This window comes from Homo sapiens, chromosome 2, assembly GCF_000001405.40.
Source record: "Homo sapiens chromosome 2, GRCh38.p14 Primary Assembly".
Taxonomy (NCBI): Eukaryota; Metazoa; Chordata; class Mammalia; order Primates; family Hominidae; genus Homo; species Homo sapiens.
The window spans coordinates 20,317,200-20,341,512 of NC_000002.12; the positions used below are offsets into that span (position 1 = coordinate 20,317,200).

The 24,313-nt window shown below is 37.8% G+C and overlaps 1 protein-coding gene across 53 annotated transcripts in view, besides 1 other annotated feature; it reads right to left on the bottom strand.

The window, feature by feature from the left end:
* The window catches only part of PUM2 (pumilio RNA binding family member 2), a 103,563-nt gene that overhangs the window by 68,509 nt on the left and 10,741 nt on the right, over positions 1-24,313 (bottom strand). For 19 of the 53 annotated variants that reach the window (XM_047443807.1, XM_047443803.1, XM_047443821.1 and 16 more), the window contains exons 2-3: positions 10,111-10,179; positions 1,338-1,446 (exon numbers count right to left, since the gene is read on the bottom strand). In XM_047443807.1, the coding sequence (XP_047299763.1) occupies positions 1,338-1,446; positions 10,111-10,161 (160 nt within the window). In that variant the 5' untranslated portion in view covers positions 10,162-10,179. Of the gene's footprint in view, positions 1-1,337; positions 1,447-9,061; positions 9,187-10,110; positions 10,188-14,517; positions 14,739-15,767; positions 15,865-24,313 lie in introns of those variants that run through there. The other 34 variants (XM_047443826.1, XM_047443818.1, XM_047443810.1 and 31 more) reach the window with 11 other exon arrangements.
* Positions 16,946-17,005: an enhancer, noted in NCBI's record as "active region_15386". NCBI's record gives its function as "activates an Ori minimal core promoter by ATAC-STARR-seq in GM12878 lymphoblastoid cells {active_cell/tissue: GM12878}" and the evidence as "EXISTENCE:reporter gene assay evidence [ECO:0000049][PMID:35858748]".

Here is a 24,313-nt window from a genome sequence, read left to right on the forward strand (position 1 = left end):
GGAAAAAAAAAAAGCATTTAACTATGATCTTTAATTTGCCAACACTGTCACTCCTGCATGTTATACTCCTTATACACCAGTTAATTTTCCCTTAACAGTTTCTTAGACCTAAGTCTCTCCCCACTACTTATGAAGTTGAAATCAAAACATTTAAAGATCTGCTCCCTTTCTGGGAGCTCTATCTTACCAAGACAGTCTACTTCCTTCCTGGGTGTGGCAAATATCTAATAAAGCTAGGCTGAGCTGCAATTAGATAAATCAGTCACGATCACCTAGTACAATTTAAGACTAAAAATTTCTATGGTTAAATTAATCTATCCCCCATTTTAAATGAAAATACAGAATTTTATTATTTTTAAACTTTTATTCTAGATTGGGGGGGTACATGTGCAGGTTTGTTATATAGGTAAATTCATGTCACAGGGGTTTGGTGTACAGATTATTTCATTACTCAGGTACTAAAAAAAGTACCTGATGGGTATTTTTTCTGATCCTCTCCCTCCTCCCACCCTCTACCCTCAAGGAGGCCCCTATGTCTGTTGTTCCCCTCTTTGTGTCCCTGTGTTCTCGTCATAAGTGAGAACATTCAGTATTTGGTTTTCTGTTCCTGTGTTCGCTAAAGGTAATGGTCTCCAGCCCCATCCATGTTGCTGCAAAGGACATTATCTCAATCTTTTTTTCATGGCTGCATAGTGTTCCATGGTGCATATGTACCACATTTTCTTTATCCACCCTAGTATTGATGGGCATTTAGGTTTTTCCATGGTTTTGCTATTATGGAATAATGCTGCTGCAAACATACACGTGTGTGTCTTATGGTAGCACAATTTATATTCCTTGGGGTATATACCCAATAATGGGATTGCTGGATTGAATGGTAATTCTGTTTTTACTTCTCTGAGGAATTGACACAATGCTTTCCACAATGGCTGAACTAATTTACATTTCCACTAGTAGTGTATAAGTGGTCCTTTTTCACCACAACCTCACCAGCATCTTATTTTTTAATAATAGCCACAGAATTTTACAATCAATTAAAAAAAAACCCTTGATAAAATCTTACTGTGACAAACACTTCTAAAATTACATTTCTTAGCTGCCATTAAGAAAATGTGCATAGGGCTGGGTGTGGTGGCTCACGCCTACCATCCCAGCACTTTGGGAGGCCAAGGCAGGAGGATTGCATGAGCTCAGTTATTTGAGACCAGCCTGGGCAATAGCGCAAAACTATACAAAAAATGCAAAAATTTGGAGACTCACTCTAAAAAAAAAGGTGCATTATGACTTATAAAATGCTAAATATATTCACAATTCTCACACATATACCAGTAACTTACGAGAAGCTCCCCATGCAGTCTCTCTCCATTCATCATCCCCAAGAAATATGCCTTTTTGTCCATCTTTTGTTGAATCATCAGGTTCCCAAAACTTTTTGGTAGGCAAAAGCTATTTGGAGGAAAAATTACAGTTAAATTTTATTCTAATTACAAAGAATTAATATATAAGAAGTCTCAAACATATCACTGCTATGTATACATTAGTTTTCAATGCTAATGAAAATTCAGAGTGACCTATTTTCTAAGCTGTTTTGTTAATAGTAAATTAACTCCCCATTTATTTTTGTGTGCTGGTGCTAGTAATTCTAGACCTTAAACAAAAATCAAAATCTACTTCTGACTTTTCTTCACTTTTCATACATTTTTATTACAATGTAAATTTATTCAAAAGGCTTATTAAATTCCTTACTCAGTAACAGATTTAATAAGCACATCCATAGGAATGACTGAACTTTTCCCTTCACTTCCAAGTCCTCTCCCTAGACCACCTCCTATCATATCTTCTAGAATAGAAAATACTTTTTCATTTTTAACTCAGTTATTCAATGGAAGTGAAATTCACACCTCTTACTAGCTGCTGAGTACTATCTGTCAAACCCATAACAAAAAGCTATGGATGGTAGAAAACATGCATAGAAAAGAAACAATCTCAAGGCCCTGTGCTCTATCCTATACTGTGACATGCATAGCACATAAAAATTGTGTTGATACAATCATTCACTGATTACTCAAAATGAACATTTTGGACAATTCTTATTCTTTAATATTCATTCATATCTCCCTACTGTCCCTGTCGCTTAGGAGGTGGCCAACTTGGATATGTTTGTTTGAGAAGAACAGACTGGTTTTCTGAGAAGTGAACTTAGCATTTTAAAGAAGCATTCATAAGACACCATCACTCTCAACTCTTAAGTAGGTGTCCAGTCTTTTCAGTGCTAACAATAAAACCTGTGTATACTTCTATTAAACTTATCACACTCAATTACCTATATGTTTACCTCTTAAGGGCATGGTCTGCTCACCTTTAGAGAGCTCACAAACATATAAACTATAATAAATATAACTCAGTAATACCTGAAATTGGTCTGAGATAAGATGTGTGTGTTTGTGTGTGTGACATAGTAAACCATTAATAAACGCAAAACTTGAGAAAATGCAGTGTGTAGAATAGGGTGTAAGATGAAACATGTGGGAAGGTCAAAAGTTCATGCTAGCAAAGCTAACAGATGCTGGCAGATCAGATTATGAAGACCCTTAAAGACATGCTAAGGAAGTTAGATGCTCTACTGAAGCAACAGGGAATAGAGAAGAGTTAGCAAGGGTGACACTATGTACTACAAAAAACTCAAGTTGTAAGTTTTAAGAATAACAAATAGAAAGAACAAGGAGATGAATTTTGGCAATTTACAATAAGAGGGCCAAGAGAGCAAGAACTAAAAGAGGGTACTGGGCCAGGAGAGGTGGCTCACACCTGTAATCCCAGCACTTTGGGAGGCCTAGACAGGTGGATCACGAGGTCAGGAGTTCAAGACCAGCCTGGCCAAGACGGTGAAACCTTGTCTCTACTAAAAATACAAAAATTAGCCAGGCGTGGTTGCCAGTGCCTGTAATCCCAGCTACCTGGGAGGCTGAGGCAGAGAAATGCTTGAACCCAGGAGGTGGAGGTTGCGCCACTGCACTCCAGCCTGGGTGACAGAGTGAGACTGTCTCAAAAAACAAAAAACAAACAAACAAAAAAGAGGGTACTAGCAGAGAAAGCTGAGAAAATAAAATGGATCTGAGACACCTTGGAGTCAAAAGGATCTGAATACAAATGGTGGGGAAGATAACTAAAAAGAATAACCTGTTTAATAACTTAAACAGCTAAAAAGGTAAATGGTACTGCTATTGACCACAATAGGAAAACAACAACAAACCAGGAGAGGCAGCTTTAAAGGGAAGAGAAGAAATTCAATTTGAGCATGTTCCTGAATTACATATATTTTGCTAAACTAAATGTTTTAATTAAAAAATGTTAATTAAAATGTTTAAATGTTTTAATTAAAAAAAAAACTCCATTTTTTTAAAAAAAGTTTTTAAATGCTAGGATGGCCCTGGGCTGTAAATGACTGGTATTTATAAAGAGCAGACATTTTAAACAATAATCTGCTCTAACAAAGATCCCAGTAAGTAAACTATAACTTGTATTCCTTCTATTTTAAAAATCTCATCATAAAAGATTCACGTAAATATTCAACAAAACATAAATCTAGTAATATGAATACTAAAGCATACTTGATATATTTAAATAATAGAACATTCACAGTTAAAACCCAAGTTAATCCCTTAAAAATACTGTATAAGCCATTCCAAGCAGATGAAAATAATTCCTTAAAGAATAAAGCAATGCTTTTATCCCATACTTCATGAAGAAAAAAGTCTCAGTATCAAAATAATAACAAATAAGTAATCTAAAGTTGTAATAACTAATAAAGCATTTATCACAGACAAAGAAGTGGCTAAAATAGACTAATCTTATGAGGTAGTAAAAGTAATAGCACCCCTTTGAGACTATTCTGAAGTCTTTTGGGATTAAAGTTCCGGGAGTGCCTTCAAAATGCTTTAAAATGCAAATTGCAGCACACACCTGTAGTCCCAGCTACTCAGGAGGCTGGGCAAGAAAATTGCTTGAATCTGGGAGGCCGAGGTTGCAGTGAGCCGAGATCGTGCCACTGCACTCCAGCCTGGCGACAGAGCGAGACTCTGTCTCAAAAAAAGAAAAAAGAAAAAGAAAAAACGCAAATTGTTTACCTGGGCTGGGAAGCGGGGGGGAGGGGAGTCTGTAAACCACTTACCAAGTGTGTCTACTATGGCCAAGCACTATACTATGAGTACCTTCATTTTCGAACATTTAGAAGTTTTTATGCACAGGAAAATTTAATAGTTGAAATTAACACTCTACCAAAGGCCTTCACTGATATTCTAAAAACTATTTGCTCTGACAGTTTAGATACTGACTCAAATACTTTTAGGGGATCTACTAGCTGGTGACTAATAATAGGTTAAAGTGAACTAAATGTAGGGGAAGGCAACAATTCAGGATAGAACACAGTTAAAGAGGAAAAAAAAAGGTTAAACAATGCATTGATTAGAACAGCAATAAAAATAGGAGATTTGCCCCTGGAGAATCTTTTACTGTAGTAGAAAGAGCAACCATACAACATTACAGAAAACAAAATTAAGAAACCGTTAAGATCTATAAAATATGTTATCCAATACCACTTCATATTAGTTCCCTACTTCACAAACTCTAAAAGAAGGTCAGGCAACTCAGTGTTTCTTATCAATCTGCTCTTCTATCCTAACTCCAGTGTTTGAGGGAATATACAGTGTCTTTTCCTTCAAATGTATGGCTTGCTTTCCCCATTTCCAAAGAAACCTATCAGCACCCAGGCATGCTGCATCAAAAAAAAAAATAAAATAAACTCCCACTCAGGCATTTACATGAGTATACCTATACTTCAGACTTTTTAAATTGTTATGGAAAACCCCTAAACCAACCAAATAAACATAATCCCAAGACTTAAAAGGATTTAAAATGTAAATTGTTTTAAATTATTTATATAATTTATCATCCCAAATGGGATACTTTAGTGAAAAAAGATGCTATTAATAATCATGCCATGAGAAGATATAGATCTGAGCTGTCCTGGGCAAATCAGAATGTAAAGTCACTCTACTTATAATGGAAGTTCAAAAGAGGTAAGAACAGATCCTCAAAACTAAGTTGTAACAGGGAGCAGAGACTCATGCCTGTAATCCCAGCACTGAGGGAGGTGAGAAGATAGTTTGAGCCCAGGAGCTAGAGACCAGCCTGGCCAACACTGTGAGACCCTGTCTCTTTTAAAAAATAAAATAATTATAAATAAATAAATATAAAATAAATTAGCCGGGTGTGGTGGCATGCACCTCTAGTCCCAGCTATTTAGGAGGCTGAGATGGGAGGATGGAATGAGCCTGGGAGGTCAAGGCTGCAGCGAGCTATAATTAGCTGAGGCAGGCAGACTGCTTGAGCTCAGGAGTTGAAGACCAGCCTGGGCAACATGGCGAAACAATGTCTCTACAAAAAATATAAAAATTAGCCAGGCGTGGTGGCGTGCACCTGCAGTCCCAGACACTGGGGAGGCTGATGTGGGAGGATCACTTTAGGCCAAGGGTCAGAGGTTGCAGTAAGTTGAGACAATGCCACTGCACTCCAGCTTGGGCCACAGAGCAAGATCCTGCCTCCAAAACAAAAAACAAAAAACAAACAAAACAAACAACAACAACAACAAATGAAACATAGAGAACAAAACACAAAGTAACTCCACAGAACACAAAAATGGTGCTTTTCCAGACTTTAATCTTTTCTGTTAATGAAAGATATTAACACTTTCATTTTCTCAAATCCTTGGTATCAACAGCAAACATTACTAAATGTCATCACTTCCAACAGGAAGTAGTACTGTACAGAAGTAGTACTGTAAACACTCAAGACTTCCCTGGGTTCAAACTGCTCTTCAAGTACTATTATGTGGCCTTGGACTAGTTTTAATTAACCTTTTCTGCGCTTCAGTTTCCTCATCTATAAACTGCACGGAATTACATCTAGGGCCAGGTGCGGTGGCTCACGTCTGTAATCCTAGCACTTTGGGAGGCCGAAGTGGGCGGACCACGAGGTCAGGAAATTGAGATCATCCTGGCTAACACTGTGAAACTCTGTCTCTACTAAAAATACAAAAAATTAGCCAGGCGTAGTGGCACACGCCTGCGGTCCCAGCTACTCGGGAGGCTGAGGCAGGAGAATAACTCGAACCTGGGAGGTGGAGATTGCAGTGAGCCAAGATTGCGCCACTGCACTCCAGCCTAGGCGACAGAGCGAGACTCCATCTCAAAAAAAAAAAAAAAAAAGAATGGCATATAGTACACAGCAGACACATAAATATTAGGTATCTTCACTACCAACAGTATGAATCCTTTACTGTTATCAAACATGACTTAACTTACTGACCCACAACATTCAACTGATTTCAAATATTATATTATTCACTTTAACGATTTTGTCCATAGCTGTTTGACTTCTCTTGAGTCAGTTTGACTATCCTAGCGGGATGATGAAAACCCACTACTTAGGAAGAACAGTTTACTACTACAGTCACATTCTGCATAAGGAAAACTGACCAAGGTTACACATAAGCTGGTAAATGTTAACAAGGGGATCTGAACCCATATCTACTTAATTCTAAGACCCTTCTCTTCACATTTAACTACCATAAAAGAGTTCTTTTCAATCATATTTTAATTCATCATGATTTCTGAAAATTTTGAGTATTATTCTAGAGATACGGACTAGCAAAAAAAAAAAAAAAAAAAAAAAAAAAAAATCCAGTATCAGATCACCACTGGGAATAAGGAAAAAATAAAAATGCTTAAAATATTATCATGATAGTCTTCCTATTACAGTGGGTAAAGTTTAAGATAGAATTAAGATAGAGATTATCTAGACAAACTATGACCAGCTATTTAAACACTATTTGAAATGGCTGGTTTCCATTCCAGTTATCCCTAAGAGCTTATATTAAAGCAAGAGCATTTCAGAGATACATGTGATTCATACAAAAGGTTATTCTTATTATTATTTTTAAAGTCAGTCAGTCTTACTCAAGGTCATAACACTAGGGAGAGATCTAGGAGAAAACACAAGTCTCCTTCCTCCCCTACCTAGTAAGTCTTCCACTTCACCACACTACATAGAATCTTAGTACACAGGCTTTCTTTAATGCTTTCTTTATATATTATTGTGTTGGAAAGACAGGAGAGAGCACTGCTTATCATACTAAGCTATAAAGATATTCTCAAAATAAAAGATATTAATTCAGTGATTTAAAGTTAGATTCTGGATTTTCTGAAGAATTTCAGACAGGGCCCTCTTTCCTGTTATTTAAAAAATAAGCAGAAACCCAGCTATATGTGCCCCAACAACCTAGAGAAGCTAATAGGTATGAGCCTATGCAGTGTGTCTGACTTAACACTACACTAATAAAGCAGAGTTCAATCTCCTATAGATTAGTTTTGCTCTTTTTAAGCCACATGACATAATGCAAATCAGTAGGTCTTTCGACAGAAACATGCTATCAGTGTAAAAACAGAGAGGGTAAGTTTATGAATAGGTGAATACAAATCTCTTATTTGTGGATGCCTTCTGATGATGGCTCAGTAAAGACATCATGATCTACAAAACACAGTAAATTTGAAATTAGTCCTACATGTAGATGTAACACTTTGTACATTAGAGATTTACAACACTTAAGACAACAGTAAGCAAAAACTATTTTTAAAGAAAGTCAAGACAAGGGTAATCTATTTTAAAAACCGTTTTGCATTAAAAAAAAAAAAAAGCATTTTTAGAAAACTTAAGAGCCAGAAACTCAAGGCTGCTTTTAATTTATTCCAATGAATGAATTCTGGGATATAACAAAAACAAAAAAACCTCACCTGTCAGGAAAGGAGGAGAAGACTGGTGAGAGAGAGAGGCAAAGAAGGAAATCCCAGAAGGTTCCTTGCTGCCTGTGAGATGAGGAAAGATAGAAAGGCTTGTGGGAGAGAGAACCCAGAGACAGAAATCTCAGTAGGTTTTTCTTAGCTATCTTTTTGAGGTGACAGTGTTAGTGCTTAAACTGTTAAGAAATAAACTAATGAGAGCATCTTAAAATATATTTTTACTGGATGAAGGTTACAGATACACTGACATGCTGCTATCCACCAGGTAGCAGGAAACCGTGGTCACTTTTACTCTCCATATCTGACATGTCCAATAAGGAAGTCTGGATTTAAGCTTTTTTCTTTTAACATACCATTCAACCCAGCTACTCTTTCCCCCAAATAACTAAACCCTTTCAACCACTGTTTCAGATCATGACATTTTTTTGATCTGCAAAGATAACTTTAAAATTATTAAATATTATTTAGAAAGAGTGAAAAAACACCAGTTTGAAAACATATATACAATATACATCTAAGAAGTGATAAAGGGAGTCTAAAATTAATGTAGGAGTATGACTCTCTTGTTCTTTTTTTTTTTTTTTGAGACGGAGTCTCGGTTTGTCCCCCAGGCCAGAGAGCAGTGGTGCAATCTCGGCTCACTGCAAGCTCCGCCTCCCGGGTTCACGCCATTCTCCTGCCTCAGCCTCCCGAGTAGCTGGGACTACAGGCGCCTGCCGCCACGCCCGGCTAATTTTTTGTATTTTTAGTAGAGACGGGGTTTCACCGTATTAGCCAGGATGGTCTCTATCTCCTGACCTTGTGATCCGCCCACCTTGGACTCCCAAAGTGCTGGGATTACAGGTGTGAGCCACTGTGCCCAGCCTGACTCTCTTGCTCTTAAAGAATTATCAGCAAGTTCAAGTTTGTCATAGACAAGAAGGTTGAAGCACTGTTCAACCCTGCTTTTAATATATGTTATTCTGCTTTTTAAAGAGCAAAGAAAAGTAGTGGCCAGGAAAGAACAAAAGCCCTTTTCATCTGCCTCTTATTTGCCAATAGCATAAATAATGCCTAACCAGATATTGCACTGCAGTGAAGCTACAGATTTTGTTTACAAAAAAAATTCAATTTCTTCAATTTTTCTTAGGGTTGAGAATTTTACCTTATGCACTGGTCTAACAAATTTATTTTGGCAATACTTAAGCTTAAGCACCTTAACTCACCCTTAAATCAGTCCTCTGAAAATGACATACTCTTTGGAAAACGCTGTTCTGAAGAAGGGGAGGGTTAGCTAGCTGCAGGGTGCCCTCTTGTGGCCCAAAGGAGAGACTTGGACTCTTTTCTGCATCTGAAGAGCACAGCATTGGATGGAGTGAGTCTCATGAAGGTCTCTATTCTACCAAGGTAAAATAATCTCCAGGAGCAAGCAGTTAATTACACATCTTAGGTCTGTTCACTGTTATCTTCTATTATCAAAGTCTACGTTAGTAGTACAGAACATGACAAAATACAGATGTCACCACAAGAGTTTCCATAATCAAAGTTCTCTAAGTATTCATTAGCTATATGAAAAATGAAGTATTTGATGCCTTAAAATATATAATGATGAGGTTAACTTTGGTGCTCCAAAGAAAATCATAGATTAACGAGAATGATAAAATCCATTAAGAAATGCGAAGTGCCTACTATGCTAGGCATTCAAAGCTAATAATTTACAGGGGAGACAAGTGTAAAACAAACTAACCAGCAATATAATAAAAGTCTGTATGAAGAACTAGAAGCCAGATGAAGGGCTTAATTCTATGGCAGATAGCAACTAGACAATAGATACATCCCAGTCGAGTCTTGTAGAAGATTAGAAGTTTGTTAAGTAAACAGTTTTGGGTGAACAAGAGATTTTTGGAAGGGAGAATAGTAAAACAAGTATGGCTAAAGCAAACACAGCATACATATATAAAACAGCAGAACAAGGCTAAAGAGTTTTTTTCAAGCAAAGCTAATTATAGTTCATTACCAAAATATAAGAAATTATCTCACCAAGTCAATCAAATCACCTAGACACAAATAATCACACTAAAAATTACTGCTAAAAGCTTTTTTTTTAAAGCTAAAAATCACAACAGAATTGTACAATCTGAAATTTAAACCCCTCCATATAGTTTGGAAGATATGACCACTATTTCCAGGAAGGGAGATGGTTAAAAAAAAAAAATAAGTTACAATGGCTCAAAATAAAGTGAGGTGTAAGTTCTTAGTATTTGCAAACATTTACCTCTCCCATTCCCCGAGATTCTAATGCAAGAGCTTGAAAATCATGATTCATTTCATCCACAGATCAAACCTGTTGAATAACAAAAACAAAAATTAGTACAAAGAAATGTTTAAACAGACTTCTTCAACTATTTTTATATTATATTGCTGCTATGACTAATATTAGCATGATCTGAGAAAGGGAAGCACTGATTTCTGTAGGGAAGACAGGTTTTCCCAGTTTATGACAGCAATCTACCTTAAAACCTGTAGAAAAACATTAGGTCAAGGGTTCTTGAATTATTCTGTGTGCCAACAACTATGTGAAGGCAATGAAAAACAATTAAAGCCCAGAAACTGGAGAACAGTCTATACTTTAAAGAAAGGAGTAGCACAGAGTAAGGTTTTTTGTTTGGTTGTTTGTTTTTTTTAAATGGCATTTCTGCCCGAGGGAAGGCCTAGATGTGGAAGTAGGGTCCTTAAATTCCTTTAAGAATCCAGCCTTAATGGCCTGAAGAAACCAAAGGACACAGTCTAGAGCAACCAGAGCTGCTGGAAAGTAAGAAAGGGAATCCCAGAGAGGACACGCCATGTCCCGTGTATAAATTACACTGGGATTTTCAGATGACGCCTGAACTGCACATATGTGAGACAGACTCCAAGGAGCTCAATTAAGGCTAAAAGAATTGAGCAGAAATTTCTGCTGCTGACCACCACAAAAGTCACAGAAATTTGGAGGCTGAGTCCCAACAAAACCCAACATTTGGCTAGGTGTGGTGGCTCACGACTATAATCTCAGCACTTTGGGAGACCGAGGTGGGTGATCACTTGAGGTCAAGAGTTTGAGACCAGCCTGGCCAACATGGTGAAACCCCGTCTCTACCAAAAATACAAAAAAATTAGCTGGGTGCGGTGGCACGCGTTTGTAGTCCCAGCTATTCGGGTGGCAGAAGAATTGCTTGAATCTGGGAGACAGAGGTTACAATGAGCCAAAATCGTGCCATTGCACTCCAGCCTGGGCATCGCAGAGAGACTCTGTCTCAAAACAAACAAACAAAAAAAACACAAACACACAACCTCCACATTCGCCAAAGAAACAACAGAATCTAGAGCATCTTCAATACATCAATCATGAAGTCTGGAATATAATCTGTAATTACTAGACAGGTGAGAAAAAAGGAAAATGTGACCTAAAGGAAAAAGTCAATTAATAACCACTCCAAGACGACCCAGGTTAGAATTAGCAGACAGCAATCCTAAAGCAACTACCATAGCTGTGTTCAAAGATTTAAAGAAAAATATGCTCCTAAGGAATGAACAAATGCAAAATTTCAGCAGAGAAAGAAAAACTACAAAAATAACCAATGCTAAAACTGAAAAAAATATTTAAAAATTACACTGGATGCACTTAGCAGATTATAAAACAACAAAAGAAAGGGTCAGTGAACTTGAAAATATATCAACAAGATTTCTAATTTGAAGAATAGGAAAATAGTGGAAAAAAAATGAACAGAGCTTCAGTGACCTATAAAATGTCAAAGCCAAATAAAACAAAGATGACTCTCTAAATTGAAAATGTTGTATTTAGGAAGCAAGAATCTAATTTGGGTGCGGTGGCTCATGCCTATAATCCCAGCACTTTGGGAAGCCGAGGCAGGTGGATTACTTGAGCCCAGGAATTGAGACCAGCCTGGGCAACATGGCGACACTCGATTTTTACAAGAAATTTAAAAATTAGCTTGGCACATTGGTGCATGCCTGTGGTCCCAGCAACTCAGGAGGCTGAGGTGGGAATATCACTTGAGCCTGGAAGGTCAAGGCTACAGCAGTAAACCATGATTGTGCCATTGCACTCCAGCCTGGGCGACAGAGCAAGACCCTGTCTCCAAAAAAAAAAAAAAAAAAGATAAGATCTAATGTTCTCCATATGGTCCTATTTGGTCATAGGATGACCAACATGGTAAAAACAATGTCTCTACAAAAAGAATACAAAAATTAGCCTGTTTCGGTAGGGCATGCCTATAGCCACAGCTACTCGGGAGGCTGAGGTGGGAGGATCACTTGAGCCCAGGAAGTGAAGGCTACAATGAGCCATGAGCGTACCACTGCACTCCAGCCTGGGTAATAGAACGAGAGCCCCCTCATCTCAAAAAAAAAAAAAAAAGAAAAGACAAAGAAAAAGAAAGGAAAATAATGTAATTTGGAGCATATATATACAGACTGGACGGTCTTGGGTATGTCTGAAGAACAAAGAGAAGGCTGGAAGTTATTAGAGAAACGTTACAGACTGTTCTGACAGATTGGTACTAGAGCAGCTTTTGAGAAATGGCAAGCTCTGACTAGAAGAAGCTGGTCTCAGAGCAGTGGCGAGTTGTTTCCACTGCTACTAGGTAAAACGGGTCTTAGGGTTACAGCGGGCCATTTCTACAGCTGGGCTTGCTGAAAATTTAATTTTTGGATCAGATGTTAAGTGCTCAAGTGCCTTTTTCCCCTGGACCCTAGATTCTGATTTAGTTGGGTGTTACAAGAATGACCTAATGTGTATAATTTTCACAGGAACAATACCAAAAAGTGTAACTTACATGTAACTGGAGTTCCAGGAATGAACAGGATGGTAAAAATATTGAAGAAACAATGGCCAGAAATTCCCCCAAATTTAGTGAGAGTCAAATCTACAGATTCAAGAAGCCCCATGGACACCAGAGGAAAGATAAATAAGAAAAAAAAAATTCCACACTTACAGTCATTATAAAAACCCTGAAAATCAAAGAGAAAAAGTCCTGAAGATTGCCAGAAAAAAAAACAACATATTACATAAAGAGGAACAATGATGTATGAATGACTGCTAACTTGGACCAGAAATAATGGGGCCCAGAACATACAGGACAAGATTTTAAAGTGCTGAAAGGAGTGCCAATCCAGACTTTTACACCTGCGGAAAATATCACCTTAGAATAAAGGCTGAAAATGTAATACTGTAAAACGTATTTTTGGCCTTTGTCCATGTCCTGGCAAAAAGCTCCTAAAACCCCTGGAATCACTGGAGTGATGAGTGTCTTCTGCATGCTAATGAGCTGACTGACTGGGGGCTGGTTGCCAGGGGAACCATCCTTTTGATTAGAGAGTTTGAACTTTCAGTTCCCCCTCCTGCTTCCAGAGATGGACTGAAAACTTAGTTGATCACGAAGATTTTAATGCCTATGTAATGAGGTGAGACTTCTGCAAAATTCCAAAAGATCTGAGTTCTGGGAGCTTACAGATAGCTGAACTCTTGGAGGTTCCTGGAGAGTGGCCTGCCCCATTCTCCCATACATCATCCTAATGCATCTCTTCCATCTGGCTATTCTCAACGGTATTCTTTGTAATATCCTTTATAATAAATGGGTAAATTTAAGTAATGTGCTTCCCTGAGTTCTGTGAACTGTTCTAGCAAATTAATTGACCAAAGAAGGTCAGAGGAACACCTGATTTACAGCTGGTCAGTGAGAAGTCTATGTGACAACCTACGACTTGCAACTGGCATCTGAAGTAGGGAGGAAGTCTTATTGGCCCAAGCCCTCAATCTGTGTGTGAGAGCTGATGCTCTCTCCAGGGAGATAGGGTCAGAAATGAGTTAGACGACGCCCAGCTGGTGTCCACTGGAGAATTTGCTGCAGGACTGATTGCTTGATACAGCATATCAAGCAATACATGTGGGATCATAGAAGTGTTCTGTGTTGTAAGGGTACAGTAGGATAAACTGTATTTATATCCTATAGCCTTACATTTGGTGTCAGAAGTGGGATTTGCTAACACAGCCCTGGCACACAGAAACGTGGTTTGGTTCAGACAACTTGGGGAGAGGAAAAAAAAAAAACCACACGCGTTGTTTGGGAATAGAAAGAATGAAAGGGTAGGGGATGAGAAATGGGAATAGAAGGAACGAAAGGGTAGGGGATGAGAAACTTTTGATTCCTTGGTGGCCATGTGGTCACTCACTGTATGTGCTCAGTTACTAAACGTTACCAATGGAATTTAAAGATGGACCTAACTCTCACAAAGTAAATGTCTAAGAAAATGCAAACTAATTTTAAGGAGAAATATTCAATCCCTTGGTTACTGTTATCCTAATAGCTAAAATAAAGTGCTAGGTCAGACCTTAATACAAGACCAACCTCAGATTTCAGTGACTGAGCTTCGGCCAGTAGCCTTAAAGCTGTCCTCCCAAGAGAAAAATTATGCAGAGACAAGATTAAGTACTTCTAATCTATGAGCCATGGTTACCAAGAAGGTAGTCAATGTGGGGAAAGGGCAAACCCAATAAACTGTTAAAACCAGTATCGAAAGCAGAAAAAAAAAAAAAAGAAAGAAAGAAAAGAAAAGGAAAAAAAAACTATCAGTAGTAGACATGAATTTTTCTCAAGAGTCAAAGTAAGCACTAGAGCTTTACCTTTTTTGCTTACTTTCAGGTTTTTATCAGTGGTCCAAATAGATGAGGTCACATAAGTTAAAGAACCTCTGGATAATTTTGAGAGGTCTCTTAGCTCTTTGAATCCATTCTTACTGTTGGGATAAATCATACCCCTAGTGTAGGAGTCAACATTTTAGGCTTTGCAGGCCATATGATCTCTGCTGCAGCTACTCAACTACGCCTCTGTAGCACGAAAGCACCTATAGACAATACCAAAATGAATGAGCACAGATATGTCCCAATAAAACTTGATAAACTGTAAAATTTGAGTTTCACGTGGTTTTCATGTATCACAAATTATTCTTTTAAAATTTTTTCCAACAATCAAAAAATGTAAAAGCCATTCCCATAGAGCAGGCCATGCAAAAACAGGTGATGGGTCAGATTTGGCCTGCAGGCCATAGTTTGCAGACCTCTGCTCTCATTCACTTTCTCTCTTGACTGCTCCCCAAAACTCAAATACACAAAATCCACTTCCAAATATGAGTATACTGAAAGTTAAGCATTAGGGCTTTGCTTTCAACTTTTTCACTTATACTACTAGAGTGTGTGTGTGTGTGTGTGTGTGTGTGTGTGTGTGTGTGTTTAAACGAATGGGGGTTTCAGATCATATCTAAATGGAGGTAATTTTATTATCTTTCAATAATCAGGGTAGTAGAGTAAAAAGACTTAAAAAAAAAAAAAACCCACCCCCATCAGCACAACTTAAGCTCAGCTTTTCAGTTTAGGGTGTTACTGTTTATTTCAATTACGAGAAAGAGAATGAAGGAGAAATTGGGCAAGACAATGGGAGACAAATAACTTTTCCAACTCTCAGGCAATACCATATCCATATAAACTATAATAAAGTTGAAGAGATGGGGAGACAGTTGCCCATATGCTACTAAGTGGGACTCCAAAATTTCTAAAGTATGTCAATCTGCTGTCTCTTAAACAGCTACAAATGCTGGTGTCATCTGATGGTAATAAAAAAGTTGGAATTTGGACATAAATTTAGTGACTTTATCCGAATGATTAAATCTTAGGGAGGAAAGATCTTTTCTAACAAGCAATAGGACCTACTAGCAACTGGTTATATACTATTTCACTGTTTATTTGAAAAAAATGTATTCAGGAGTATGGCACCATGTACTGCTTGGGGTATAAATTCTATCTTCAATTTTTTTTGTCTGCATTATTAAGGCTCAAATCTCCAATATTATTTTCTTTAATAAATAATGAGAACTTACCAACACAGAAATATACGACAGAAACTTTTCTTTGGCCAAGACCCAGTATAATCTTATATTTGAATTAAAAAGTCATTTTTGAGGTTATGACTGTTTCCTAGCAAAAGAAAAGAAATGACAGTATCTTATTTTGCTCATTCTAAATTTTAACAATATTAGCTAATTTTTCAGTAGGCAGATTATTACTAATGATGTGAGGAAAAACAGGTGAAGCATTCAAATAACAACTTGATTTAGCTCAGTGATAGTTTTCCTATTTACTAGTGCATAATCCAAAATGTCAACAACTGAGCACAGTGGCTCATGCCTGTAATCCTAACACATTATTGAGGCTATGGTGGGAGGATCGCTTGAGGCCAGGAATTCAAGACCATCCTTGGCAACATAGGGAGACCTAGCTCTACAAAAAATTAAAAAATTAGCTGGGCATTATGGTGCACACCTGTGGTCTCAGCTACCCGAGAGGCTGAGATGAGAGGATCGCTTGAGCCCAGGAGGTTGAGGGTGCAGTGAGCCATGGCCACAGTAAGACCCTGTCTCAAAAAAAGAAAAGCAACAACAACAACAACAAAAACAAAAGCCAAAAAATTGACAAATATCTTGTGTAAAGAAGCAAGAAAATGCATTAATATAGGACATTTACATTATTAAAAGTATTTGTTTTGGCTAGGCATGATGGTTCACGCCTGTAATCTCAGCACTTTGGGAGGCCAATATAGAAAGATCACTTGAGCCCAGGAGTTCAAGACCAGCCCTTGCAACATAGCGAGACCCTGAGATATGGTTTGGATCTGTGTCCCCACCCAAATCTCATGTCAAAACGTAAACCCCAGTGTTAGGGGTGGGGCCTAGTGGAGGGTGACTGGATCATGGGGGCGGAGTTCTCATGAATGGATTATTGCCATCCCCTCAGTGCTACTCTTGTGATAGTTTTTCTAAGATCTAGTTGTTTAAAAGTATGTAACACCTTCCCCTCTCTTCCTCCTGCTACAGCCACGTAAGAGGTGCCTGCTTTCACTTCACCTTCTGTCATGATTCTAAGTTTCCCGAGGCCTCCCCAGAAGTAGAAGCCACTATGCTTTCTGTACAGCCTGTAGAACCATGAGACAATTCAACCTCTTTTCTTTCTAAATTACCCAGTCTCAGACATTTTTAAATACATCCTGTTTCTACAAAAAAAATTTTTTTTTAAAAAATTAGCCAGGCATGGTGACATGCACCTGTAGTCCCAGCTACTCAGGAGGCTGAGGTGGGAAGACTGCTTGAGTCTGGGAGGTCAAGACTGCAGTGAGCCATGGTCCGCTCCACTGCACTCCAGATTGGGTGACAAAGCAAGACTCTGTCTCAAAAAAATTTTTTAAATTAAAAATATTATTTCTTCCTGGATATCTGGTTCAATTTCTTACCATATGCCTACATTAAAAACAGGGTGGGGAAAGCATTTGGAGATACAATAAATGGTATTAAAGCACTCTACTGCCACATGGTACTAATCACACTTTTATAATCTTGTAATTATAAATTAACACCATAGTAGAAATTAACCTCTGGGGTCAAAGGGATTAGTGACTGTCTTAGCTATGTAAACGTTCAACATTTAATGAATGAAAAAAACCATATTTTATGAAATGTGAATTCCGATCATAAAATCAATTAGTATCTGGATAGTGACTAAGTATTTACATATCTTCATATATTAACATACAATGCTTATTTTAACATAAGGACAATGAACAAGGCTTTCGCTTAGACTTTTTGTACTGCTGAAGACATTTACCAACACAAAATGACTAATGATTGCAACTTCACACAGGCACTACTTCTCCAAGTCTGTCATCTACAGCCTGGAGACTGTACCTTCCTTTTGCATCAATTACAAAGACAACAAAATTACATAAAAACCTAGTTGAGTCACAAATAAGTCAATACACAGAGTGACTTAAGCTTCTTAGGACATATTCTCCGTAATCATCCTCCTTGGACTGTTTTGTTTTTTTTTGAGACAAGGTCTCACTCTATCACCGAAGCTAGAGTACAGTGGGGCAATCATAGCTCTCTGCATCCTCTCACCTCAGTCTCCGGGAGTATCTGGGACTAAAGGTGCATGCCACCACCCCCAGCAAATTTTTGTATTTTTTGTAGAGACAGGGGTCTCCCTATGTTGCCTAGGCTGGTCTCAAACTCCTGGGCTCAAGCAGCCCTCCTGCCTCAGCCCCTCAAAGTGCTAGGATTAAAGGTGTGAGCCACTGCACCCAGCTGGACTGATTTTAATGAACATAATCATTGAACATCCGTGGTATCTACGGCAAACAAACAAGTGCTGAATTCCTAAAGAATACTTTCTTCTGCTCAGCAAATTAAATCACTTTATTGCAAATCTGCCAACAAACTTTTTTTGTTTAGCAATGCTTTTTCTCATTCACATGACAAAAGTAAATCTAAATCCAGGTTTAGGTATTTATAGGAGACCATTAGCCTTTAAAGATTTAACAAAGTTTCTACTATTCAAACCAACTCTTGGTAATTTCTTATTTTTCTGAGGGCATAAATTGAATCATACAGTTTTTCAGTGACGAACAAGTCACTTAGCTAGTGGGTCAACCAAGAGCTAAATCAACAGTCTGTTTTCTAGTTTGTCCAAATACTTTCATGGGGGAGTTACCTCTGCTGGCTTTACTAGCAAGGCAAAAAAGCTCTATAACAAAGAATAGTATTACTGACTCAATTATAATAAGGAAAAGTAAAGTTTTATGTTTTGAATGAAATTTGGCATAAAAATTAGTGTTGTCAACATACAGACTTACAGAAGCCAAAAATCTCCTTCAAAGACCCTATTAGCTCAAAGCTCAAATCTTTTAATGTTTTATTCCAACCCCATCATTTAGACAAATCTATATATGTGCAAACATAAGATTTTTGTTCCATTAAAATTCTCTGAAAGGGGAATCACCATATATTTGGGTCCTTACAAAAGTTTCTCCTCTTATAAGGCATCCTCTCAACTGACTTATTTGGAGAATCAAAATACTGCTGAAGAAAAGTTGCCTTATTTTGAAAAATATACTACTTAGATAAGATCTACACACTAAACAGCCTCAATCTATGCTGGGTTTTGATGCTTTAGGTATTGTCTGAGAGAAGCAGGTCAAATAATTTAGATGGAAATGAAGATGACAAGCTTTAGAAAACTGTTTACATAACACAAAAAGCGTTTTTTTGTTTTTTTGTTTGTTTTTTTTTGAGGCAGGGTCTCACTATTGCCCAGGATGGAGTGCAGTGGCATTGATTATGGCTCACTACAGCCTTGACCTCCTGGGCTAGTGATCCATCTACTCAGTATCCTAAGGAGCTGGGACTACAAATGCATACCACTATGCCCAACTAATTTTTGTATTTTTTGTAGAGACAGGGTTTTGCCATGTTGCCCAGGCTGGTCTTGAACTCCTGAACTCAAGTGATCTGCACCTTGCCTTGGCCTCCCAAAATGCTAGCATTACAGGAATGAGCCAATGTGCCTGGCCTAAAAAGTGGTTCTAAAGTTAAAGATATAATTTTTTTTTTTTTTAAAGAGACAGGGTCTTGCTCTGTTGCCCAAGATGGAGCACAGTGACGTAATCAGGGTTCACTGCAGCCTTGACCTCCCAGGCTCAAGGGAACCTCCCAACTCCGCCTTCTGAGTAACTGGGACCACAGGTGCCACCAGGCCTGGCTAATTTGTGTGTGTGTGTGTGTGTGTGTGTGTGTGTTACAGACGGGGTCTCACCATGTTGCCCAGGCTGATCTGTGTGTGTGTGTGTGTGTGTGTGTGTGTGTGTGTGTGTGTGTGTGTGTGTGTGGTACAGACGGGGTCTCACCATGTTGCCCAGGCTGATCTGGAACTCGTGAGTTCAAGTAATCCTTCCACCTCGGCCTCCCAAAGTGCTGGGATTACAGGCATAAGTCACCACACCTGGCCTAGTATTCCTAAATTATTTTCTGTGATTTAAAATGTGACATCATCCTAATAGTGGAGTAAGACATTATATGATTCATAATGTAATATGAAACAGTACCACCACATATGAAGAACTGCCTTCAAAAAACACTAAGCTTCAATTTGTCTAATATTATAATAAAACTACTGATCTAAATACATATTTATGACATAAAATTTTGAAGCGGGGGAAGCAGATTACACAGACTGTGGTATAGGCCTAAATGTCAAAAAAAAAACTGTGTAAGCCTGCTTCTCACAAACCAACTATAAAGACTTTTTTGAGAAAAATCAGGGAAACTCAAATATAGAATGAGTATTAGATAACAGTAAGGAATTCTATTAGTTATGATACTAGCAAGAGGATTGGGTTTGTTTTTTGTAAGTCCTCATCAGTAAAAGCATTTATGCTTGAAATGGCATATTGTTTGGGATTTACTTTGAAATACTCCTTCAAAAAGTAAAATATGGGTATAAATAAGATTTCACACAATGTTGAACAAGGACGGTAGCTATCAAGGGTTCACAATACTTACTATTCTCTCTACATGTTTGAAAGCTTCCATAATAAAGTTTAATAAATGAAAAGGCTAGGTGGTTAGAAAAAAATAAAGTTTAATAAAATACATATAGCAGTCTGACAGAAAGCCACATAAAGCAGGTGGTATTTAAGCTGGGCCTTGAAGGTCAGTTACACAATTCAGACAAAAATATTTTTAAAACATTTATAAACTGCAGTTTTTAATTCACTTAGGGTCCAAGCCTTCATATGAACTTAATTTGGCTTATTACTTCCTCAAACATACTTTTGACTAGCGTATGAAAAATTTTCCCAAAAACTGATTTCCAAAAGGGTACAAATTTTGGAGACTAATTTTTAATCAGCTAACCTTCCCCCAAAGAGAATAACAACAGAAATTTTATTGAGCACCCCATTTTATGCCACAGATTATACCAGGCACATTATATATAATTCTCACTATAATCCAGCAAAGTCAATACTGCATCATTACTTTGCAAATAGGAAAACTGGCCACAATTTCCCTACCCTAATATACAAAGCTACTAAAATGGTAGAGAACATAATACTATCAAAATTCCAAAAAGCCCATGCTCTTTCCCATACCAACCAAGCATAAGCCATCACTCAAGCTAATGCCAATTACGCTACTCTCTAAAAGACGTGGTGGCTCACGCCTGTAATCCCAGCACTTTAGGAGGCTGAGGCAGGTGGATCACCTGAGCTCAGGAATTCGAGACCAGCCTGGCCAACATGGTAAAACCCTGTCTCTACTACAAACACAAAAATTAGCCGGGTATGGCAGCGTGTGCCTGTAATCTCAGCTACTCAGGAGGCTGAGGCAAGAGAATCGCTTGAACCCAGGAGGCGGAGGTTGCAGTGAGCCGAGACTGCACCACTGCACTCCAGCCTGGGCGACAGAGCAAGACTCTTGTCTCAAAAAACAAAACAAAAAAAACACCTGGACAATTGTTTACCACTTATCCCTTCATGCGCAAATCCCACAAATTCCTCAAAGTTTGGCTCAAATGCAGCTTTCCCTAAAGCTGACCCCAAACAATCCTTCTCTTAATTCCCACAGAATTTAATTGGTATGTTGCAGTATTACTAATACATCTTGCCCACTAAATTTTAAAACTTCTCTAAATCAGAACTAGGAAAGAAAAAAATCCCACACAATCTCATCAACTGTTCTGGTTATACCAGTGTTCCATGAAATGCTACTAGTTATGAGGGAAGTCAAAGGAATACTAAGGATATAGTAATAGGGAAGGGAAATGATATAATACAAATATTCCAGGTTATTACATGAAAAGGCAAAGTGAAAACCAATCTATGCTCCTATCATCCTAGTTTTGTAAAAACAGGATGCAAGCATAAGTCACACTTAACCATTAATAGTGGTCGCACCTAGAAAAAGGATATGCATGATTTTTACATTACATTTTATAGTTCTTAACTCCTAGAATGTTTTCCACACACTAGTTGTATCTTTAGAAATATTTAAAATATATACATGATAAAATCACACACTTACATAGTTCTTATAGTCATGTTAACTTGGAAATCAATGGCTTTATATATGGAAGGATCCAAATATTTAATAAATTAGTTAATAATATGCCACATCTAAGCACTAAAAAATAAGTTATTTCTATAGCTTATTTCAAAAAAAATGTTTACTACAATGTATGAGCAAGACTAGATTTTTCCTAAATATACTTACATGCAGAATATGTATCATGACTTGCAAATAAATTACAGTTATGTAATTCTGCATGCAAGGTGGTACATATCTGTAATCTCAGCTACTTGGGAGATTGAGGTGGCAAGAATCACTTGAGACCAGGAGTGGGAAAATGACCAGGGTTAACCCATCTCAAGAGAAAAAAAAAAAAAGTACAATAAAACATCTAAACGAAGCATCACTTAAAAGAAAAATATTTTCATTTTAGTCTTGTTTGTAAGTTTCCAACCATTTTAGAAGCAATATAAAAGAATGTACGTGTACACTCAATGCCTACTACAGTAAATATCTTTAGCCTTACTTTTAATACATCAGGTTTTTAAAAAGCAAAGCCCAGTTTGTAGATGTAAATATTCTCTCACCATCTGATTTAAAAGAAAAAAGAAAAGCAGGCCAGGCATGGTGGCTCATGCCTGTAAGCCCAGCACTTTGGGAGGCCGAGGCGGGTGGACCACCTGAGGTCAGGAGTTCAAGACCAGCCTAGCAGACATGGTGAAACCCTGTCTCTACTAAAAATATAAAACTTAGCCAACTGTGGGGGCACACGCCTGTAATCCCATCCTCTTGGGAGGCTGAAGCAGGAGAATCACTTGAACCTGAAAGGCGGAGGTTACAGTGAGCCGAGATCATGTGAGCCGAGATCGTGCCACTGTACTCCAGCCTGGGCGATGAGTGAAACTCCATCTCAAAAAATAATAAATAAAAGAAAAACACAGGATAAGTATTTATAAATGTCATTTCATCTAGATTAGTTCTATCCTACTCTTGATAAATTCCTCAATGTAAAAAAAAAAACGGCCAACTAAATCATACATTTAATTTAAAGCCAATATATTTGACAGTATGCTGTGATAAACATGATTTATATATTTCTAGCTTTCAAAGTATTTTAGTATTGTCCTTTGCTTTGTAATGTATTCTTTAACAGGTTAGGGAAGGAACAAGTGAACTGGTTTAAAAAAAAATCTGTCATTACTCCTGTCATCCAAGACTACTGTTGATATGAATACAGAAAATACCAATGGAGGTGAAAATATGCCAGTTCTATAGAATGCTACGTTTCACTCCAACAGCAATGTAAGATAGGACTAATCACAAAAGAAAGCTAACTCTTTGGTGCCAAAGTTTAACTACCTGGGTAAAATACACAACAGTAAGATGTGGGATGGATCAGAGTTCTACCTTTCTCAGTACATATATGGTGAGGACCTGATAACTGATTCCCAGAAGACTTAAATGCACTAACAGATGTAGTCTGGAAACTCTTCAGGTACCCCTCAGGGATGGGAGCACCCCAATTTTGAGATCACTAGTTCTCAAACACTTACAACACACATCAGAGTCCAGGTAGGAGGATTTTATAAACTACAGTTGCTCAGGTTTCACCTACCCAAGGCTGGCTTGAATTAGTCTGGGCAGCAAGACAGGCGGATTTTTATTAGTATTTTTTAGGCTCTCCAGGTGATGCTTTCCCTCTGCAGATAGGGTTGAAACACTCATACATCACCATATGGCTAAGGAATATATCCACAAACACCCTAGAAGTTTCCCAACTAAAAAATTTTGTTAGTATCAGTCATCATGGTGTAACAGAAATCAGAATCAAAAGACCAAGAATACAGTTCCAGGTTGGCCACTAACTAGCTAAATGAACTCGATCTCATTTGTCCATTTGCAAATGGAAACAACAATGCCTCCCTCATAGGGCTGTTGCAAAGATTAAGTGAGGTAATAAATGAAATTGAAATGCAAGTGCTTTCTAGAGTATTAATGACACATCAAACTGAACTTTTTGTTTATTTGTTTAAAAATCAATATAAAATTCTTTGGACTGGGCACAGTGGCTCATGCCTATAATCCCAACACTTTGGTTGGCCAAGGCAGGAGGATTACTTGAGTCCAGGAGTTCAAGACCAGCGTAGGCAACATAGCAGGGGCCACAGCTCTTACCTGCGCTCTGCACAGCCCCCCTCTCCCTGCCCCGCAAAAAAAGAAAATATTTTGACCCAGAAGTTTCTCTTTTGGAAATTTACCTTAAACAAACAGCACCAACACAAATGAATTAACTATATAAAGATATTTACTGCAGCACCACTTATATGGTGGTACAAAATTAAAAAAATAAGCCAAACTCAACAACAGAAAAAAGTTAAAACAATGAGCCAGTACAAAAATTACAAGTAATTAAAGTTACATGTAAAATGTCCATGATATTAAGTAAAAATACAAAGTTGCCTAATGTGTATCATATGATCCAATTTTTGTTCAAAAAAGGAGGGGGGCAATGTATGACTACATATGTTTGT